This window comes from Homo sapiens, chromosome 16 (genome assembly GCF_000001405.40).
Source record: "Homo sapiens chromosome 16, GRCh38.p14 Primary Assembly".
In the NCBI taxonomy this organism is placed as follows: domain Eukaryota; kingdom Metazoa; phylum Chordata; class Mammalia; order Primates; family Hominidae; genus Homo; species Homo sapiens.
The window spans coordinates 85,330,370-85,352,914 of record NC_000016.10 but is presented as its reverse complement, the minus strand read 5'-3'; the positions used below and the strand labels follow the sequence as shown (position 1 = coordinate 85,352,914).

The 22,545-nt window shown below is 54.5% G+C and overlaps 1 protein-coding gene across 4 annotated transcripts in view, besides 3 other annotated features; it reads right to left on the bottom strand.

The window, feature by feature from the left end:
- GSE1 (Gse1 coiled-coil protein) overlaps window positions 1-22,545 on the bottom strand; it is a 506,689-nt gene that overhangs the window by 323,286 nt on the left and 160,858 nt on the right. The gene's annotated exons all lie outside the window — the stretch shown is intronic.
- Window positions 2,648-3,286: an enhancer, noted in NCBI's record as "H3K4me1 hESC enhancer chr16:85383235-85383873 (GRCh37/hg19 assembly coordinates)". NCBI's record gives its function as "activates a minimal SCP1, AML or CMV promoter by ChIP-STARR-seq in primed H9 embryonic stem cells {active_cell/tissue: H9 hESC(primed)}" and the evidence as "EXISTENCE:reporter gene assay evidence [ECO:0000049][PMID:30033119]".
- Window positions 5,944-6,220: a silencer, noted in NCBI's record as "fragment chr16:85380301-85380577 (GRCh37/hg19 assembly coordinates)". NCBI's record gives its function as "represses an EF-1alpha promoter that drives an FKBP-Casp9 reporter gene in an ReSE screen in phorbol 12-myristate 13-acetate-treated (for megakaryocytic differentiation) K562 erythroleukemia cells {active_cell/tissue: K562(+PMA)}" and the evidence as "EXISTENCE:reporter gene assay evidence [ECO:0000049][PMID:32094911]".
- Window positions 21,723-22,290: an enhancer, noted in NCBI's record as "NANOG-H3K27ac-H3K4me1 hESC enhancer chr16:85364231-85364798 (GRCh37/hg19 assembly coordinates)". NCBI's record gives its function as "activates a minimal SCP1, AML or CMV promoter by ChIP-STARR-seq in naive H9 embryonic stem cells {active_cell/tissue: H9 hESC(naive)}" and the evidence as "EXISTENCE:reporter gene assay evidence [ECO:0000049][PMID:30033119]".

Genomic DNA, 22,545 nt, shown 5'->3' with positions numbered 1-22,545 from the left:
AGAAACAGAGGGAACCAGGTGCCAGTCCCTCCCCTGGCCTAGCTCTTCCCACTACCATGACTCTTGTTGGGAGTGAAAGGATTTTACCCCCTTTCTTTGTCAGCAGCTGGCCTGGACTCCCAGGGGAGCCTGGTCAATATTAATGGACACGCAAGGCTGTGGGGCACACAGGGTTTTGTGATTATGGATTATCTCCTGCTCAGCACCATCTTGAAGGTGGAGACAAAAGTTCTCAGCCAGGTAATCAAACAGAGGCAAAGGGCCCCCCTTCCTTATCCTTCTAAGGCCACATTTACGACAGTCCCTGAAAAAGCAGGCCCTGAAACCTGCATATGTGCTGTGTCTTCTCTACCAGGGCCAGGAATTCCAAGCCCACAGTGGGTCTGGATTTAAAGTACTATTGTGCCTGGGCCTGTGATGTCAGCATCCCCCACTCCCAGGGGGCCCTGGAGAACATGGCATCTCAGAGCAGTTCAAGGGGCTCAAGCAGACTGGGCCTCGGAGGACTGGCCAGGCTGGGAAAATGCCATTGTTTCCTGAATTTCCCTGGACCGCAGCCACCACCTTTAAAGCTTTAGTTAGTTAATGGGGAAGGATGAAAGGGGGAAATTTAATAGGGTTCTTCCAAATAAATGGGGATTCACAGCCCACCGCTGAATAGCCTAATGAGATCCTGCATTGTTATGCTTTCTCCAGGGAGCTGGAGTGCTTTCTGGAGAAAGCCAACTCCTGGTAGACTCAGGGGAGGAGGGTGTGGGGGAAGACAGACGCCACATCCCTGCTCCAAAGAGGAAGACTGTATGTGTGTATGTGCATGCACACACGTGTGGTCAGTGCCAAGTTTTATTAATTTTATTAGTCCATGAGATCCCTAGGTCTGGGATCCCCAGTCTATTTGGGTTTTTTTTTTGTTTGTTTTTGTTTTGAGATGGAGTCTTGCTCTGTTGCCCAGGCTGGAGTGCAGTGGTGCGATCTCGGCTCACTGCAAACTTTGCCTCCCGGGTTCAAGCAATTCTCCTGCCTCAGCCTCCCAAGTAGCTGGGACTACAGGTGGCCGCCACCAGGCCCAGCTAATTTTTGTATTTTTAGCAAAGACGGGCTTTCACCATGTTGGCCAGTCTGGTCTCGAACTCCTGACTTCAGGTGATCCGCCTGCCTCGGCCTCCCAAAGTGCTGGGATTATAGGCATGAGCCACTGCGCCCAGCCCAAGGCTATTTTAAAAAATGCTTTATTGAGATACAACTCACATACTATACAATTCGCCCATTAAAAGTGTATCGTTTGATGGCTTTAATGTATGTACAAGCTGTGTAACCATTACCACCATCCATTTCAGAACATTTTCATCACCCCCAAAAGAAACCCCCATCCCTATGAGCAGCCCCCGTCAACCCCATCCTTCCAGGCCCTGCAATCACTCATTTGCTCTCTGTCTCCGTGGACTGGCCTCTTCTAGACGTTTCATACAAATGTCATTTCTGGACATTTCATACAAATCCAATATGTGGCCTTTTGTGCTGCCTTCTTTTTAAAGTTAGCACCATGTTTTCAGGTTTGTCATGTTGTAGTGTGTAAACCCAGTATTTTGAACAATAAAGGACATTCCAGTTTGAGGACCCACAGCAGCCCAGGGGCTGCTGGACAGAGAATTCCCTTCTCCAGGAGCCTCTTCGGCAGGAACTGGTTGGCTGTTCATGCAGCCAGTTCCCTCTCCCTCCTGGGCATCCAGCCAGATTCCATCTCCCGGCCTCCTCTGTAGCAGGGCACAGCTGGTGCCCCAGGTCTTGGCTACTCTCCCAGCTGGGAGATCTTAGCAGAGTGATTCACCCCTCCAGGCCTTGGTTTCCTTTTGAGTACAATGAGAGTGGCACCTTGGGAGGCCGAGGCAGGCAGATCACTTAAGCCCAGAAGTTCGAGACCAGCCTGGCCAACATGGCAAAACCCTGTCTCTACTAAAAATGCAATAATTAGCCGGGCACGGTAGTGGGCGCCTGTAATCCCAGCTACTCGGGAGGCTGAGGCAGGAGAATCACTTGAACCCAGGAGGCAGAGGTTGCAGGGGGCTGAGATCATTGCACCACTGCACTGCAGCCTGGGTGACAGAGCAAGAGTCCGTCTCGAAGAAAAAATGATAGTGACAACACAGTGCCTACCTCCAAGAGGAATGACGGAGGAAATTCAACGAACTCTTCTGCTAAGGCACTTGGAACATAGCAGGTTCTCAACAAACTAGCTGATCCCATGAACTAAGAGCAGGAACATCAGGAACAAGAATCAAAGCATCACGGTGACCTCATGGCCCCTCAAAGCTTGAAGGGGTGTGTGCTGGGGAAGGCGTCTTGGCCTTGGGTGCAGATGGTGGGGGCGGGGCCTGTCCAGTGTCCCTCACACCCTGGCTGCTGGGCAGTTTCGGCTCCAGCTGGCAGGGCTGTCTCCTAGCTGCTGGCCTGGAGCCCCATGACAGTCTAGGGTCCCTGAAGTCACAGGGGCAGGATGCTCTGAACAGCTAAATGTCAGGAGAACAGGGCTCACCCACTTTTCCTGACCAGCCTGAATCATCTCTTCCTTCCAAGCAAGCTCCAGGTGCACCCCAGGAAGCCGGCACTGCTGATCTTGAGTAAAACACACGTAGGCCTGAGTCCAAGCTGCCACTCACCTGCTGGCGTGACTAGGAGAAACCAAGCGAGCCACAACTGCTCTGGCTCTCAGCTGATGTCTCCGGAAAGTGGGCTAGTAACCCCTGCCTTACTTGTCCCGAGTACCTACTATGTGCCAGGTGCCAGCTGAGCACCTGCCATCGGCAGCCCATTTAATCATCCCAGCAACCCCACCTGAATTCTCAGAGGCTCAGAAGTCAAGTCAGCTGCCCAACGTCACCCAGCTGGTCACAGTGAGAGCCGAGAATGCAGGCCAGCATGTGTCCTCTGTCAAGTACCTAGTCCCCGCACAGTGTCCAGGGCACAGTAGGTGCTCAGTAAACACTGGCAGAGCCTGGTTCTGCACCCCCACGCCTAGCGGCCGTACAGCAACCCAGGCCGCACTCTGGGGCAAGTAGGTTTGTGCTGCTGGTGAATGGCAGAGAGGGGAGGTTTGCTGATGGGCTGAGGCTGATTTATCTCAAGAGCAAAGCAGGGAAGATGAGACAAGGAACACAACCGCAGGAGGGGGAAGAGACGCCAGCATCCTGACAACACAAAAGAACACGGCGTCGCCTCCTCTTCGCCCCGAGGAAAAATCAAGCACAGGCACGAAGCCAAGTGTAGGGGGAAAGACAGTCCCTTCCCCAGGGCGCTGGCAGGGTGTGTGCATTGGCTAGGGAGGGCGGCGGGCACAGCCAGCCCAGGAGCACCTCCCGGGCTGGCCAGAGGCCCCTGCCCCTGCTGGGGACACTCAGGTTGCAGCACCAGTGCTGTCGTCTGCCAGGGAGGGAGAGAAGGGAACATGGACAGGCCAGCCCTGCCACGGGAGCCCTCTTCTCCCGCTGTCCTGACCCGCTGTGGCCCCGCACCAAAGCCCACCTACGAAGACATTCTGCTCAACCTGCCCTGATGGGATTTCTTGTTCTGTGCTGCAAGCTAGTGTGTCAGAAGCCAAAAACAGTATTTTACGCCCCTTAATTCCCTGTAATAGCTCCATAATGGCAAGCAGAGGCTCCAAATACTGCAATAAAGGGAATGATAAGGCTTCGGGTCAGGGGGAGATTGGAGATGCCGAATGCAGAGTCCCTGATAAGCAGACAACTAAAGGGTTATTAAATGTGCGCTGGCGACCGGGTGTAATTGGAAAGTTATTAGATATGGAATACACACAGCACCCGGCAAATGAGTAATCAGGGACTAATTAAGCACACGCCACACGGCAGATCGCGCGGGAGAGGCTGGTGGCTGCCACATCTGTGACTGCAATTAGGGCCGCTCCGGCTGCAGCGCTCCCGGCTGGGGTTGGGGAGCGGCAGGGCGGTGGGGGTTGGCTGTCTCGGGCAGGGCGCCGCAGCTGGGGGGTCAGGATCAGACTCTCCCCCATCTCTCGGGGGCTGGAGGGAGGGAGGACAACAGAAGCTCAATTAGACACATGGTCCAGGGCTTGAAGAAATAAAAAGGCAGTTCTGTCCCAGGCTTCAAGTTTGGCCAGGTGACGGCTGGCTGCAGCTGCCCGAGTCTCCTGGACAATCCACGAAACACATGCACAAAAGCACGATCCAGAGCCAGGCAGGCCAGGTGAGAATGACCAACCCATTTTATAGATGGGAAAACTGAGGCTGAGCGGACAGAAAGTGGGCAGAGGTTGTCCAGCTGGATCCTCTTCCAGCAGGCACAGAGCACCTTGCCCCGGATGTCTGGGTTAGGGAAAGGAGCCTGCATTTCATGGATGGGCAGTGGCCAAGATCAAGTGGACAAAGGGGCCAGATGCAGCCGGGTGACCAAGAAAGAGCTGGGACCTGGGCGGGAGTGAAGGTAATCTAGGGAATGCCTCTCCATGTCATGTTCCTGGCCTCAGCTTCCTCCTCCGCAAAGGTGGAGCTGAGAGTCCCACCCATAGCTTTAAACTGGATGGGTTGATGGACTGAATGGACAGATGGATAGGCAGTGGATGGATGGATGGATGGATGGATGGATGAACAGTGGATGGATGGATAGATGGAGGGGCAGGTGGGTGGATGATGGATGGATGGATGATGGACAGGTGGATGGATGATAGATGGGTGGACAGATGATGGACAGATAGATGAATAGTGAATGGGTGGATGGATGATGGATGGATGGAGGACAGGTAGGTGGCCTGGCCAAACTTGAAGCCTGGGGCAGAACCGCCTTTTTATTTTTTCGAGCCCTGGACCATGCGTCCTGGACCATGAGGCAGCTGTGCACTCCAACTTAGCGCAAGAAGTCCATGAATGCCTTTGCTACATAAAGAGTAGAAGAAAGAAGGGGACCCCACCCCGCCTGCCGCAAAGAAAAGCTTGTCATTGGAAGACAAGAAAGTCCCTGGTTCAAGGCCTCGAGGGCTGCTGGGGCTGAAAAATCTGGGTTCAGTTGACACTGGGGTTGTCCCCAAGCCCAGGAGCTGCTGTCTGTCCCTGACCAGGTGGAACAGAAGGTCCTAGAGCGGAAGCTTGTGGCAAAGATGGCTTTTGCAATGCCCGCAGCCACTATGTCCACAGCATCTACTGAGGGCCAGGCCTGAGCTTGTCCCTGCAGGGGCTGACCCATTTAAGCCTTAAACAACTCAGTGAGGCAGGAACTGTGTGTCCCATTATATGGATGAGGTCACTGGCGACAGAAACATTGGTGCACTTGCTGTGTCTGATCCCACTGTGGGATGGGCGGGTGGGGCACGGGTCTTTCCAGGAGGGTCACTAGAAAGCGGGGATCCATCCATGTTGACGAAACTGACAGCCTCAGGACACACTCAGGCTCGGAGGCAGCTGATGGTCCCTTGAAAGGCTGGCACAGGGCAGGAGCTCACTGCTTGCTGAGGCAAGAGCGCCTCCTCATGGCTGTCAGGCAACAGGGCGCTTGGGTGCTGCTGGGGAATCCAGCCGGGCCAGGGTGAGAGGCCAGCGCCCCAAGATGTGGAGGCCCTGAGACCTTGGCATCAGCCCAAGAACCTCCTCCTAGGGGCTGGCAGTGGGAGCTAGGCTGAGCTCAGACCGGCTCACCACGGACATCCTGTCTCTCCCAGGGACCCCTCCCAGCCCCAGAGGTATTCCCCAACCCCCAGCCTGCCCCATACCTGCTCATCTCCTGCCTCCAAGGGTGAGAGCCTCCGGCTAGACCTGGGTGTACAGCCCTGCCAGCCACAGCTCTCAACACCACCGAGCAGCGGCCTTCCTGAAACACCACACTTATCCCGCCAACCCCTTACCAAAGTTCTGACCCTGTCACGTGACATCTAAGAGCCACGTTATTTGGTTCAGCTCAGCTTTGCATCCACATTTCTGTCACACCCTCATATCTACCCATCCACCCACCTGTCCACCATCCACCCACCTGTTCACCATCCACTCACCTGTCCACCATCCATCCGCTCATCCACCATCCATCTACCTGTCCATCACCCATCCACCTGCCCATCATCCATCCATCCATCCATCCACCATCTACCACTCATCCATCTACCTGTCCATCCATCCATCCATCCACCGTCCACCCACCTGCCCACCATCCACTCACCTGTCCACCATCCACCCACTCATCCACCATCCATCTACCTGTCAATCACTCATCCATCCACCCATCATCCATCCATCATCCATCCACCACTTATCCATCTACCTGTCCATCATCCATCCATCCATCCATCCATCATCCACCCATCTGCCCACCATCACTCCACTCGTCCACCATCCGCCTGTCCATCACCCATCCACCCGCCTATCATCCACCCATCCACCATCCATCCATCACCCATCTATCTACCTGTCCATCATCCATCCATCCATCATCCACCCATCAGCCCATCCATCCACTCATCCACCATCCACCTGTCCATCACCCATCCACCCGCCCATCATCCATCCATCCATCATCCACCCACCTGCCCACCATCCATCCACTCGTCCACCATCCATCTACCTGCCCATCATCCATCCATCCATCATCCATCCACCCATCCACTATTCATCCATCTGTCCATCATCTATCCACCCATCCATCATCCATCCATCCATCATCCACCCACCCGCCCCTCCATCTATGCATCCATCTTCCCATCCATTGTTCATCCATCCATCCATTCATCCACCCACCCGCCCCTCCATCTATCCATCCATCTACCCATCCATTGTTCATCCATCCATCCATCATCCACCCGCCCGCCCCTCCATCTATGCATCCATCCACCTATCCATTGTTCATCCACCCATCCATTCATCCACTTGTCCATCTGTCCACTGCCTGTCCCTCTGTCCATGCATCTATCCATCCACCCATCCATCTGTCCATTCATTGACGTGTCCATGTGTCCACCATCTATCTATCTGTCCATCCAGTCATCCATCCACCCATCCACATATCCACTGTTCATCCACTCATCCACCTGTCCATTTGCTCATCATCCATCAATCCATTCATCCAGTAAACATTTACTGAGTACCAACTATGTGCTAGGCTCTGTGCCTGGGATGTAGCAGCAAGAAAAACAGCTAAAAATCCCTGCTGACATTCTGGCTGGGGAGACACACAGTATTTTAACATGAGTATGAATAAACAAACTGTTCATCTGTCCATCAGTAGGAAGTGCCATAAGGACAAACAGCACAAGAACAGGATGGAGAGAAGGGCGGGTGGGTGGAGAAAGTAACGGATGGGTGGGCAATGGTAGAGATATCATTTTCCATAGGCTGGCCACACTGAGAAGAGGATGTTTGTGAAAAGACCTGAAGGAAACGAGGACACTAGCCACAGAGATAGCTGGGGAAGAGTGTTCCTGGAACAAGGAACAGCAAGCGCAATGGCCCAGAGGCAGCAGCACATTTGCAAACCTTTTCTTAAAGGGCCAGATGGTATTTTTTGGCTTTGTGGGCTGAATGGTCTCTGTCAAAACCACTCAGCTTTGCCACTGCAGCACCCAAGCAGCCTCAGACAATACCTAAATGAACATGTGTGGCTGTTCCAATAAAACTTTATTTACGGACACTAAAATTTGAATTTCATATAATTTTTATCTGTGGTGAAATACTGTTCTTCCTTTGGGTTTTGTTTTTGGCAACCATTTAAAAACGTGAAAGCCTTTCTTAGCTCATGGGCCATCCAAAAACAGGCAGCCAGCTGGACTTGGCCCGCAGGCCCCTGCTCTAGAAGCAGAGAGGAGGCCTGGGGTTTAGGAGGGGGTGGGAGGTGGGGCACGGTGTACGCCGACTCCTAAACACAAGGAAGTTTCTTGTAGGCAAAACCCGTCAGGGAGGAGGGCCTGTGGGAGGGGGCGGCTGAGTCTTGACAGAAGAGGCGAACCTGTGAGCCACGGTGAGGGCAGAGCAGAGCTGGCTACAGCAGCACCCACGGGTCACCTGCATCTGCCTGAAGGCGGCAGACAGCTCGTTCTGAAGCACACATGGCACCAGCCAGCTTGTCTACACCACCGGCTCCTCCCCTCCCTTCTCTCTCCAGCCTGGGAAGCTGCATCCTGCTGGGGCTGAGGGCATAGACTCAGCCTTGCCTGCTTCAAAGTCCAGCACCACCTGACGAGTTGTGTGCCTGCAGGCAAGTGGCTCTACCTCTCTGGGCCTTGGCTACCCCATCTGTGAAATGGAAACAGTGACAGTGCCAGCCTCCTGGGGCAGCCGCAAGGGCCAATGAGTCTGTGTTGTGAAGCTCTGGGACAGGGCCTGGCCCGCCAAGGGCACTGAAGGATAAACGGGGAGCAGCCCTGCGCTTCACACATGCTCCTGGTGCCCATCAAATGTGCCCCGCACACCTGTCCTCTACACATTTGTCCCATCACAGCTTCTCAGGAGGGCAGCTCTCAGCCCCGAAACAAGGGCTGCTGTCGTCCTGGGAGCTTCGGGCAGTCAGCCAAGGAGGCTCCCCGGGCAGGACCCCGCTCGGCCCAGGGTTCCGGGCAAAAGCAACGCGCGGGCTGCTCACAAACCTTGCCAACTGCCTAGGAGTCCCCTCCCATCATAAAATGCCCCCTGCCTTTCTCCCAGAAATGTTCTCTGCCTCCTCCTCAGCCAGGGACCGTACCCTTTCCCCTGGGCACTATCCCTAGCTCCCCCGCCGGGCAGGGCTGGCCGCATCCCACCCCATGTCCATTAGTGCCACATCCCAGTGCCAGAGATTTGGATTGCAGATCCGCACCCCCAGACCATCAGCAACCTGGGAACAGCACTCCCAGGCCCTGGCACGGCGTCCTCAGCACAGCCGCTGAAGGAGACGTATCTGAGTTATGTAAGGAGCCATGTTCCTGGGGGAATAGTGTTTCAGGCGCGGGGAATGGCCAGTGCAAAGGCCCTGAGACGGGACTGTGCCCGGTTGCATTTGAGGAAGAGCAAGGAGCAAGTGGCACGGGAGGAGCTAGGGAAGCAATGGGTCCCATTTTGGAGGTTCCCACAGGTCCCCGGGAGGACTCTGGATCTCATTCGCAGTGAGAGGGGAGCCTGCTGGATGTTCCGAGCTGAAGAGACATCATTTTGATTTTTGCCTTTTTAAAATTTCAACTTTTTTTGAGTCAGGATCTCACTTGTTGCCCAGGCTGGAGTGCAGTGGTGCAATCATAGCTCACTGCAGCCCCAACCTCCTGGGCTCAAGCGATCCTCCCACCTCAGCCTCCTCAGTAGCTGGGTCTACAGGCGTGCACCACCATATGCCCTGCTAATTATTTATTTTTTGTAGAGATGGGGTCTGGCTATGTTGTCCAAGCTCATCTCGAACTGTTGGCTTAAAGCGACCTTCCTGCTTCAACCTCCCAAAATTCTAGGATTACAGGTGTGAGCCACTGGGCCGGGCAAACTTTTTAAGCTGAGATACCTGCAGATTTGTTTGCAGCTGTAAGCAGTAATGGAGCCATCCCCGACACCCTTCACCCAGCCTCCAAGGGCAACCCCTTGCTCACTGTAGTACCCGCCACAAGCAGGAATTGATAACCGCTAATCTGCTCTCCATTCTAGAACTCGGTCACCTCAAGCACGTAATGGAAATGGAATCACACAGTGCTCGGTCCTTTGGGGCTGGCCTTCCCGTTCAGCGCGGTCCTCTGGAGATGCACCCAGGTTGCCCTGTGCACCCATGCTTTGTTTCTTTTCATTGCTGAGGAGCGTGCCGTAGTGTGGACGCGCCACGCTTTGTTGAACTGCTTGCTGATTTTGGGTTTAACAGGATCAAGAAGCACCTTCCTCCCTGAGAGGCTGAGGGAGGCACATCCAGCAGCTCAGCTGCTCCCTCTGCACCCCCAGGCCTTCTCCACAGCCTCTGCTCCCCACTCCCTGCTGCCTGCCACCCCCTCCTATCTTCAGAGCCTGTGCCCGGCTTTCTCTGCTGGCCCCCCTTTTCAGCGGCACCCCCTCTTCATGCACAAATGGCTTGGAGAGGGGTACAATTTGTGCATGGAGAGGGGGTGCCGCTGAAAAGGGGGAACCAGCAGGGATGCCCCATTTGCTAGGCACCTGTGGAGCACAGTGCTCCCTTCACCCTACCATCGCCTCCTCTGATGTCCCGGGCTGGGGAGGCCAGTGGCTATGAACAGCTAATCCTTAGGGTGTGCTCCCTGTTTAGATGTGGCTCAGAGATGTTTAACAGACTGCCAAACGTCAGACAGCCTGAAGATGACAGACTCTCGCCCTGGTGCGCCTTGAACCTCACAGAGACAGATCCTCAACACATGCGCTCTGAGGAGGAGGAATTCATCCAGCAGGTCTCCCAAAAGGATATGAGAGTGGGGGCTGGTGGGGCTGCCGAGGCCCACGCCCTGAGCTCTCAGCTCAAGCGTGGGCCACCGCAGATGAGCGTGACACAATGACTGAAGGAGCAGAGCCGCCTCACCCAGGGCAGTCAGTTTCTCAAGCGCTGACAGGGCATTAGCTAAAGTGATCACTAGACTATTAATTTCTTCCCCAGCCCCTGCCAAGGGTATTACAGTGAAAAATGGCAGCTCAGCTACAGGGAAATTCTTCAGGGTGACAAACATAAAAATAGCTCTAATTGAAGTTGATAGAAATTATACCCTTTAAAAATACACGTCCGGATGCACTGGCTACAGTGTGAGTTAACGCCAGGGCAGGGTTTCTGTCACGGGATCATGGAAACACAGTGACAGCCACAGCAAACAGCCTCAGGAGATATCACTTCTGCTTGGTGGGTCCCGAGGTGTCAGGGAGGTGGCAGTGATGGGCTGGAGGGCTGGCCACCGGGCCCTGCAGACACAATCCCACCTGCTCACCTGCAAGTCCCTGTGGAGGGACGGCAGGCAGCCCAGGGATAGAGAGACCACCTGCCGGTCTCTATTCCACTGCCGAGAGACCGAGGGTATGTCCTGAGCATCCCCAAAGGCCCAGGGACTGAGGCCATTGGCTCGTTAGCAGGCAAGGCTAGGATCCAACCCTAGCCATCACCACGAGGCCTTATTCCCTAAAGCCTGATGCCCATCTGAAACTCACACATTAAAAAATGTAAATAACAGGCCAGGTGAAGTGGTTCACACCTGTAATCCCAGTGTTTTGGGGGGCCAGGGCAGGAGGATTGCTTAGGGCCAGGAGTTTGAGACCAGCCTGGGCAACATAGCAACATCCTATCTCTACAAAATTTTTATTTATTTTTATTTAGAGACAGAGTTTCACTCAGTCACCCAGGCTGGAGTGCAGTGGTGTGATCTCTGCTCACTGCACCTCTGCCTCCCGGGTTCAAGCGATTCTCCTGCCTCAGCCTCCCGTGTAGCTGGGATTACAGGTGCCTGCCACCAAGCCCAGCTAATTTTTGTATTTTTAGTAGAGACGGGGTTTCATCATGTTGGCCAGGCTGGTCTCAAACTCCTAACCTCAAGTGATCCACCCGACTTGGCCTCCCAAAGTACTGGGATTATAGTCATAAGCCACTACGCCTGGCCTCTACAAAAATTTTTAAAATTAGCTCAGCATGGTAGCACATGCCTGTGATCCCAGCTGATTAGGAGACTGAGGCAGGAGGATCACTTGAGGCCAGGAGGTCAAGGCTGCAGTGAGCTGAGATCCACTGCACTCTAACCTGAAGACAGAACAACACCCTGTTTATTTAAAAAAAAAAAGTAAACAACAGAGCCCCTAGAGAGCTTAGAAAAACTCGCATGTTCTTGCATGCAGTGATGAATTGACTTTCAGCAGTCAGGAAGGTTTCAATTCAGTGGATGGAAGAATAATAAGTATAATGGCAATAAAATAATAATCAACACAGGTGCAGCATCTGCTCTGTGCCCTGCTCTGTTTTAAATACTTTCCACATATTTTAACTCACTTAATCCTTGCCACAGCCTGTGAGGTAGACACTGCCATTATCATCATCATTTTCCAGATGAGGAAACTCGTGCAGAGGCTCAGAGAGGCTGCAAAACCTCCTAGACTGGGGGCCTGGGCAGAGCCGGGAGTGGAGCAGCTCAGGGCTCCAGCCCACCCTCGCACCGTCCCACCCTCCCAGCCACCTGCAGAGCCTGTCAGCCTGACATGTGGGAGAAACCCCTTGACCTGCTGACCTGCAGGAAGTGTCTCTGTTCATTCTTAAACCCAAGCTAGGAACGCACCACACACAATGGTATCAGGAGCTGGTCCCGAACAGCTCACGTGAAGATGTTTTTTCTTTGTTTGTTTTTGGGACAGGGTCTTGCTCTGTCGCCCAGGCTGGAGTACAGTGACGCGATCTTGGCTCACTGCAACCTCTTCCTCCCGGGTTCAAGCGATTCTCCTGCCTCAGCCTCCCGAGTGTCTGGGATTACAGGTGTGCACTACCACACCCAGCTAATTTTTTGTATTTTTAGTAGAGATGGGGTTTCACCATGTTGGCCAGGCTGGTTTCGAACTCCTCACCTCAAGTGATCCTCCTGCCTCGGTCTCCCAAAGTGCTGGGATTACAGGCATGAGCCACCATACCCGCCTTTGTTTTTAAGACAGGGTCTCATTCTGTCACCTAGGCTGGAGTGCAGTGGTGCAATCACCGCTCACTGCAGCCTCGAACTGGTGGGCTCAAGTGATCCTCCTGTCTCAGCCTCCCAGGTAACTGGGACCACAGACACACGCCACCACACCCGGCTAATTTTTTTCTATATTTTGTATAGATGGGGTCTCACTGTGTTGCCCAGGCTGGTCTGAACTCCTGGGCTCAGCCTTGCATGATGATTCTTAAACGATTTGTACCATCTGTTTCCATTCTGGATACACCTTTATCGACTGAGATTCAGAAATGTACCTAAAGCCCACTGTCTAAGCTCAAAGCTGTGCTGAGAGAGGTGGGGACCAGGGGACATAAAACAAGCCTGTTAGTGAATTTTAAATTATTTATCTGGCCCCCGCCCTGGGCCAAGCACCGTTCTTGGCACTGAGGACTTGGCAGTGAGTAAGACAGGGAAAGATCCGGCTTCTGTGAAGCTGACATTTCAGGTTAAAAGAAGACAGACGATGTATATCCACTCCTTCAGGTTCCATAGGCAAACACGAAAGTCACCAAAAATGAAAATGCAGACGCCGTCCCCTGGCATAAAGACACAATTCCAGAGTCTAAGACTCTCACCAGCAAAGGATTAAGAGTCATTTTTTTAAAGAGAAGAAAAATGGAAAGATTAAAAAGAACCGCCCCCACCCCCACCCTGCGCCCGCCGCCTCTCTCTGCCCCCCTCCCCCTCCGCACATCCACGGAAAGAAATCTAATAATGGGAGAACATTGAGAAGACAGCAATTTTAGTGCCTTTTCACTGCCGCCTTCCCTGAAAAGATCTGAAGGGAATAATTGACTGAAGTGAGTCCCAGTTGGGGTGGAAAGGGGAAAAGGAAACATAGGAAATAAAAGGCAGAAGCTTCTAGAAAGGGCGCAGCAAGCAGGCAGAGTCGTGCCAGGGCCTCGTCAGCACCGCGGCCATTTGTCCGGAGAAATCACGGCTGGAGCGAGCACAGCCCTGGGTCCAGGCAAAGACAAATGTGCCCCTTCCACAGGAGGAAAAGGATGTCGCCGGCTGGAAATCCCGGGTCAGCCAGCTTGGCATCCACGCCCAGGTGGACTCTAGAACAGATCACTGGGAAAATCAATTTGCAATCACGTAAAATAGCCATGAGAACTACTACGGGCCTGGCTACTGGCCTGGCTGGTGGGGAGGGAAATGACACCAGACCCAGTGACCTCCCTCCCTTCCAGGTGACAGCAAAGGTTCAGGGGAAGAGAGCAGGGTTGGGGGCATCCACCTGCCCATGACAGTCACAGCGGTGGGGGGTGGTAACATGCCCAGCTGCGAGTCCACCCAAACACCCGCCCCAACACCGAAACCGACGACGCTCACAGGATGAGATGCCCCATGCTTCTGCCTGCTGCGGGCCAGGCCAAGCTCTGCAGACACGCGCTCATTCCATCCTCAGCAGTATCACGAGAGTAACGCCACCGGCAGCAGCACCTGTCCATCACAGCTTGCCCTGCTTCACGCACTGACTCGGTTACTGCGGGCTGTGTGGCCACGGGGAAGTGATTAAACCTCTCTGGGCCCCAGCTTCCTCATCTGTAAAATGGTCACAATGACAGTACCTACTAGCTACCTCACAGGGGGAAAAAAGTGACTCAAGATGGGTGTATTTAGACTACTACCGGGCCTTTAGGAGCCGCTGGATAAAACCTAGCTGATTTTATTTCCCCTGATGGTAACCCCTTAATTATTTAATGTTATTTAAATTATTTAGCCACCACATGTGCCATGCAATGCTCAAGCACTTTGCAAATCTTACTTGCCTGATCCTCCAAACATGCCTATGACATAGGTGCTATCATTATACGCCCATTTGATGGAGGGGGAGACTGAGGCAGGGAGGGGTAAGTCAGCTGCCTCACGTCACACAGAGCCAGCTCTGCACACATACGCTGTCATCCTCAGCCTGCACTGTTAACCTTGGGGGACATCTACCACTCAGAGCAGCCCGGAAGGTTAGGAGGGCACTCAGGGTGGCCCCATTGCAGGAAAGAGGTTCACCAGCTGAATGCACCCAGAGGTGAAGGCAAGATACGGAAAAAGGCGCATCTGGAGATGCTGAGGGGGAAGATCTGCCGGTGCAGAGATGAGAAAGGAGGATGAAGCAGGCAACGCCCAGGCAGCCTGCCCTGCCCTGCCGTGGGCAGCCCAGGCTCAGGGCTCCAGGGAAGAACAGGACAGGTGGTCAGCAAGAGCAGGACGAGCAGGGCCAGCACCCACAGGTCCAGCACAGGGAAGGCGTGGCTTCTGTGTTCATTCTCTTGATCCAGAGGTGAGGGAGAGCCCAGGGGTGTTCCCAGCACCCTCAAAGCTCAGAGGTGGGAAGAACCTGAAAGGTCACCTGCTCCATAGTCTCCAACTCCAGGCTGGGTCCTGCCTGAGACCAATACGGAGGCTTTGGCCAGTGGTTTTCAGAAAGAAAATCAAATGGAATGAGAACACTGACGGCGCCGCATGCAGTGAAAACTGCAGAGGCTGACGCTTCCATTTCAGACGCCAGGTGTGGCAGCATTGCTGAGACCTGGACAACCAGGACTCCTGCCCTGGGCCCTGTGCTGAGAGAAGCCCGGCCCTGGCCCACACCCATGGACCCCTGAAGGCAAGGAGATGTGCAGCCCAGGTGACTGGCCCCCAGCCCATCCCTGCGCCAGGTCCCCGGTTTCCCTGCTTGAAAGTCCTGAGCCTGGCCGGGCGCGGTGGCTCACGCCTGTAATCCCAGCACTTTGGGAGGCCGAGGCGGGCGGATCACGAGGTCAGGAGATCGAGACCATCCTGGCTAACACGGTGAAACCCTGTCTCTACTAAAAATACAAAAAATTAGCCGGGCGTGGTGGCGGGCGCCTGTAGTCCCAGCTACTCAGGAGGCTGAGGCAGGAGAATGGCGTGAACCCGGGAGGCGGAGCTTGCAGTGAGCCGAGATCGCGCCACTGCACTCCAGCCTGGGCGACAGAGCGAGACTCCGTCTCAAAAAAAAAAAAAAAAGAAAAGAAAAGAAAAAAAAAAGTCCTGAGCCCAAGTGCAGGGCCTCCCCTCAGGCCTGTCCTCCTAAGGGGGCTGTGCTGCCTAGGCCCAAAGGGTAGCATGAGCTTTGAGGAGCAGGCGGGGGTGCCCACAGGCGTGGCCTGGTGTGATGGGGGACACAGTGGCGGGTGAGAAGAGACAGCAACAGCAGGAGCTTCTGTCTGCACTCTGTCGCCAGCCCCTCGATGCTGGGGGCAGACCCAGGGTGTGTGCATATGTGTCAGTGTGCATCAAGCGCATAGCAAATGTGCCTGTGGATATGTGTGTGTACATGTCTGTGTGTGTGCCCATGTATATGTGTGCCTATGTGTATACAAGCATGTGTGCATGTCAGCGTGTGCATTTGTGTGGGCATGCGTGTACACGAACGTGTGTGCCTGTGTGAGCATGTGTATGTGTGAACGTGTGAATGTTCATGCATGTATTTTGGCATGACATATGTATACATATGAGTGCCTTGTGTGTGAGCATGCATATGTGCACATAAGAATTGTGAGGGCAAGGCTGGGCGTGGTGGCAGGCGCCTGTAATCCCAGCTACTCAGGAGGCTGAGGCAGGAGAATCGCTTGTACTGAGGAGGCGGAGGGTGCAGTGAGCAAAGATCACACCACTGCACTCCAGCCTGGGCGATGAAGTGAGACTTCAACTCGAAAAAAAAAAAAAAATTGTGAGGGCATGTGTGTGTCCTGTGCACACATGAACATGCTCACACGTGTGTGTTAGACTGTTCAGTGGCTCACAGCCCACCAGGCTGCAGAAAGCCACCAGTGTCCTACCCGAGCCACCAAGGCTGCAGGTGGCCTAATCCTGCACCTCTGATTCTGCCCCTTCTGTGCTGAACGCCACCGACTGGTCGGCATCTCTGAAGCTCTGTCTTCAAAAGCTGATGAGCTGATGCTTAGGCCGGGAGCTCCTTGAGCAAAGTCTGGGCCATCCCCTGGCTCAGTGCCAGGCTTCATGAACATTTGTTGAATGAATAATCAAGGGAACGAACAAAGGCTCAAAAATCCATCAGCCAATCCCCAAACACTGCTGGAGTGGCGCATGTCAGGAGGGCTAATGGAAGCTCATTAAAGCACCAAGGCTTGATGCTGCCCAGTCAGCCCCTGGTGACCCTGGAGTCCTGCAGAACTGCAGCCGGGTCCTCACCAAGGCTTCCAGGAGGACCCTGGCCTGAACCCGGGGCAGGGGCAGCCTCCACGCCCTGTTCCTCCATATCTCGGAGACACTAGGGTCCCAGGAAGGCCTGGGTCCCACCTGTCCTAGTATGCGGTCCTGCCCTGGCTCTGTCCTCCTGGGACCCCAGCCCCAGCTGCTGGAAGTCCACTCAGGCCAGCCGGTCAGCATGCTGGAGCCTTCTTTATGGGACATCTGGGGTGGCAGGGAAACTCCACACTGGACGTCAGGTCTGAAGGGTGTCCCGCCCTGCTCCCAGCGCGCCCGGCTGCTTGGAGGCCTCAGACAAGGCACTGGCTTATTTGGGCATCAGGGTTCCCAACTCCGAAATGGACATGGCTCCCTCCCTTCTACCTCTTCCCTTCCTCTTTTCCTTCTCTTTCTCCCGGCAGCCAACAGTGTTATTGCTGCTGTCACTGTTGGTGGTGCCGGGCATGAGACTGCCACCCTGCAGCAGTGGCTGTGGGAGGAGCCGGGCACCTTTTGCGGTGCACGGCCTCACCCCATGTACCTCCTCCTATTCTGGGCCATGTACTCCCTCACCCCACAAACCCACGCCCCAGCACCTGCAGGGAGCCCAGCCCACCCAGCACGGCCTCCGCCTCCTGCCAGCCCGCACAGCACGGCCTCCGCCTCCTGCAACTGCCCACTCCCGGCTCCGCGCTAATTACTCATTCCTGCTGGATCAAAGGTCTTGCTGATTAAAAAGCCGACTGAACTCACTCGCTTGCCGAGGAAAGAATGCCAAGACAGTACGGCCCTCCACCCGGGCCCGGGGCTGCTCCCGGCCTCAGCAGTGCCACCATGGGGCAAAGGGCTGTGTCAGCGAAAACTACTCAGGGCCGCTCACCCCCGGGCTCAGAGCTGGGGCCTCCCGGGATGGGTGTAGGGAGAGAAAATGATTCCCCTCCACCCTCCGAGGTTCCCTGGCTGGGCTGTGAATAAATCAACATGAGCGATTAACAGGAGAAAAACCATGTTTAATTACATGCGCAGGCACGGGAGTCCCACCGCACGGGAAACTCAAACAAGGGTCAGGTGACTGTCGCTTGTACAGATAGCATCCGAGCTGAAGGAAGGAGCAGGGGTCTGGGGCTTCCAGGGGTGGCGGGAGGTGAGGGAGGAAGTGCCTGGTGAATCAAGCTTGTCTTGCTGTGCAGATAAAGTCTCCCTGGTGATAAAAGTTGTTGGAGCAGCTCTCTTCCGGGTGCAGACACCTCACTAAAGCGGCTCTCCTTTACAGATGCAAATTGCTTTTACAAAAGGACAGCTTTTCAGAGCGACTCCTGGCTCCGCAGTTTCTCAGAATAACCGGCAGTGAATACGCTGATGAAGTATATTTTGGGGTGGCACATTCTGGTCTCCTACAGCCATATTTTGGGGTGGTGGGTCTTGAGCCCCCACATTTAGGGGGAAGAAAAATGGCTTCCCTCCATGGGTCACACATAGCCCCAATAAGGGGCTCCTCACAAGTGGCCCACCCCACGCCAAGCGTCCCCAAAAGTCAATGCACTGCCCCTGCACCTCAGAGTCCACCCTCTGGTCGGGACACCAGGTCCTTCAAGGATGAGCAGAACCTGGGGACAGACAGGAGAGAGGAAACGCAGAGAAGGGATGCCGGGAGAGGAGAGCTCATCATGGCTGGAGGGGGCCAGAAGGGCCCAAGTGCGGGACCTTGGCAACAGGATGGTGACTCCAGCAACCCCAGCGCAGCTCCCCCATGCAGGCCCTGTCCAAACTCAGTTCCAGAAATGCTGTGAGGCGTGGATGACTTTTTCCAGATGACAAAACAGAGGCCAGTGAGGCCCAGGGCCACCAGGTGGCAAGTGGCAGCTCCACATCCACACTCTGGATGGACCAGCTCGACTCCTGCAAGGTCCGTGGGCAGTAGGGAGCCAAGTCGATCATAGAGTAGAGGAGTGCCGACACAGCATCATGTGTGGGACGAGGAAGGCCGCGTGGGCTCAGAAGACAGCTTGGTCAGTGCACATGGTGAGGGCAGGAGCAGGGGAGTGGCTGGAGAGGGAGCGGGTCTGAGGAAAGCAGAGGCCCCGTGTCCACGCCCTGGAGGACAGACGGTGTTGATCCCGAGGCTGACGGGGACATTTTGGTTGTCACAGTAGTATCTAGCAGGAAAGGCCAAAGGCGTAGCTCAGCATCCTGCCATGCACGGGACATCCCCAATGTCAACAGCGTCCAGGCAGAGGAAGCTTGAGCACGGGGCGTCTGGGTCAGGGAGGGCAGGCAGGGCTGTGGGGGGAGGAGGAGGCTGCAGCTTGGGGCCCCCTGAGGGAAGTGGCCCAATGGGATGTCCACGCAGAGATGGCGGGTGCTCCGGAAGTGAGATCTCCAGAAGAGGCGTCCAGATCCAAAGCTGAGGACCCTCTTTGGGCCCCCATGCCTGCCGGCCCAGCTCCAAAGACTTGCTCTCCTGTAACCCAGCCAGTTCCCAGGAGGCTGGTATGTTATTGTCCCCATTGTATAGAGGAAGAAACTGAGGCCCAGGGCCACATACAGTAAAGAGGCGGAGCCAGCTTCTGATGCAGGCTGGCCTCAGGCACCTGACCCAGGCCCCCCAAGCCCTAAGGGGGTGAGGTGGGCAAAGTGGAAGGGCCCGAGGCCGGGCTGCAGCCGCACTCAGAGGAGCCGGCAGGAGAGACAAGGAGGAGGCCGGGTGGGAGGCTGGAAGGGAAGCCTGGTGGGCTGGGCCAGCACGGGGTGGGTTGCTCCATCATACTGGCCTCTGGGGCTGCTGGGAGGGGATTTTGCCCTCTCAGTAAGGAAGACTGTTCTAGATGACCTGGGTGGGCCCGCGTGGATCAGCTGGGAGGCCTTCAGAGCCAGGGTGAGGCTTCCCTGAGGAAAGAGGACCCACTTGTGACAGAAGCTCCCCTGCCACCCCTCCTGGTATGAGCCCTACAGACGCTGGGCCTGCCCACCAGCCTCCCCACTGTGAAGCTCAGTGTCCACCTCCCAGCTCTGCAGCCCTGGGTGAGTGCTGGCTGATTTGGGGGTTTCTAGAAGGGTCCAAGGCGGCGGGGTACAAAGGGATGACAGGTGGAGAAGTGGTCCCTGGTGGTGATGGTCTCTGGTGGCCTCTGAAAGGACACACTCTGGGAGCAAGGGGGGTTCAGTCTGAGAAGCTGGTGTAGACCAATCACAAAGGCCCCGGCTGGTACAGGGGATAAAGGGGGGTTCTGAGGTGGGACAGCATCCTCCCTGGGTGGCCAGCACACGGCCTGGCCCCTGGGCCCGCCATGAAGGGCACTCAAAAGACAAGCAATGACTCTGAGGAGAGAAGAGGCTGGAGGGGGAGAAAGGGCGTTTCAGAGGGAGGTGTAGACAGGAAGAGGCCGAACTGGTGTTTCCAGGTAGGAAAACAACCAAATCCAGCGTGGGAAAAGCATCACACCATCCAGTCCCCTCGGTGTGGCGCAAAGGAAGCCAGGGGAGAAGGAGAGTCCTGCAGGGTCCGCAGAGAGCAGTGCGGCCCTGGCTTCTCAGTCCCACCAGCTGAGGGTCGGGGGAGGCACACGGGGAGGGGGCTTTGGACACCGTAAGTCATATTAACCAAGAGCTGCTGGCTATGGATCCCGCTGTGTGACCTTGGGGAAGTCACATCCCCTCCCTGAGCCTCTGCCACCCCATCTGGAAAGTGGGGACATTAGTCCTGACTTCGTAGGGTTGCTGGAGGATTCAGTGAGTTAAGGACAAAGCACCTGCAGTGCATGCTCGGTATGTACCGCATTCCTTAGTGTGATTATGGAGACGGAGGAATTCGACCCATCTGGGTCTGTAAGTGGGAGACCAAGGCATACAGACCCAGGGGTTGGTGGCACTGCAGCCCCCTCTCATGGCCGACGGCTACAGGACCCCAAAGGACAGACAGCAGCGGTGTTGTGCTTTTTACCTCTACATATGAGTCACCTCTGGTACTTGTCCCACTTGCTTGGGTGTGACTGGGAGTCTGGGCCCCCTGCCCCATCCCTGGCTCCCCACTTCAGACCTGGGGCAGTCAGGCTAGGACAGGAGCCCCCAGATGGTTGCCAAAGGGCCCCAGAGCCTCTACTTTGAGGCAGGAAGCACCCTCTGGATGCAGAATTGCCATAAAGGTGATTCAGGTGTACACACCCCTTCCTCCAGAGGCCCCAAGGCTGCATGCGCTCATTAAAGGTCTTAGGCCCTGCGCCTCAAGCTTCCAAACATGGGAGGCACACCCTCAGGAGCACTGCAAAGACAGGGAGTAGCTGGGCGCGGTGACTCATGCCTGTAATCCCAGCACTTCGGGAGGCTGAGGTGGGCAGATCGCTTGAGGTCAGGAGTTTGAGACCAGCCTGGGCAACGTGGTGAAACCCCATCTTAACTAAAAAAAAAAAAAAAAAAAATATATATATATATATATATATACACACACACACACACACACACACATATACACATATATATATACACACATATATACACATATATACACACATATATACACAAATACACATATACACATATATACACATGTACACATATATACACATATACACATATATACACACATATACACATATACACATATATACACATATATACATATATACACATATACACATATATACACATATATACATATATACACACATATATATACATATATACGCATATATATACATATATACATATATACGCATATATATACATATATACACATATATATACATATATATACATATATACACACACACACACACACACACACACACACACACACACACACAGAAATTAGCTGGGCATGGTGGCATGTGCCTATAATCCCAGCTACTTGGGAGGCTGAGGCAGGAGAATCGCTTGAACTCGGGAGGTGGAGGTTGCAGTGAGCCGATATCGTGCCACTGCACTACAGCCTGGGTGACACAGTGAGAGTCGGTCTCAAAAAATAAATAAATAAATAATAAAAATTTAAAAAATAAATAATAACAATAAAAAAACAAAGACAGGAAGCATTTCCCGTCTCCATTCCCATCTCCAGAGGAGCGCCTGAGCTCAGAGAGGCTAGGTGCCCAGCCTAAAGCAACATAGCAGGGTATGACCTCTCTAACTCCCCACTAGGTGGCTTGCATTAAATCCTACCCCAAAGCCAGGCTTTGAAATGTGAGCCATTAACAGCTCCCACGTGTCTTAAGCAGCAAGACAAGAGTGATTCCCACACAGCAGCAGACTTCCAGAAACACTCAGACTTCCCAAGCCTGGGGTAAGAAGGGAGGAGGGAGATAGAGAAAGACAGGGAAGATGTGTCCCTGGGCCCCAAGGGCTCATGCTTGGCCACTGACATTTATCCAAGAGGGGCAGGAGAACTCAGAGAGGGGCAGACTCTGGGATCCGGGCAGATGTCGTTTCACAGTTTAATTATGAAACATTTTAAACATACAAAAAATGATGCATCATGCCCTCCGGTGCCCACCCCTGCCCACCTGCACGCTTCCTGGATCGGCAGAGGCAGACGACATGGCAGTGGGGCGCTGCAGCCCCTCACAGTGCCCCAGGTGAGGCGCCTGCTGCGAGGGGCTGTCTCTGTGTTCTGCGGCTGCTGTAACATGCGACCACGAACAATGGCTCTAACAACACATATCCACCCTCTTGGGAGGTCAGAAATCCGACTTGGGTCTTGCTGGACTAAAGTCAAAGTGTAGGCAGGGCTGGCTCCAGGGGAGACTGTTACCCGTCCTTTCTTC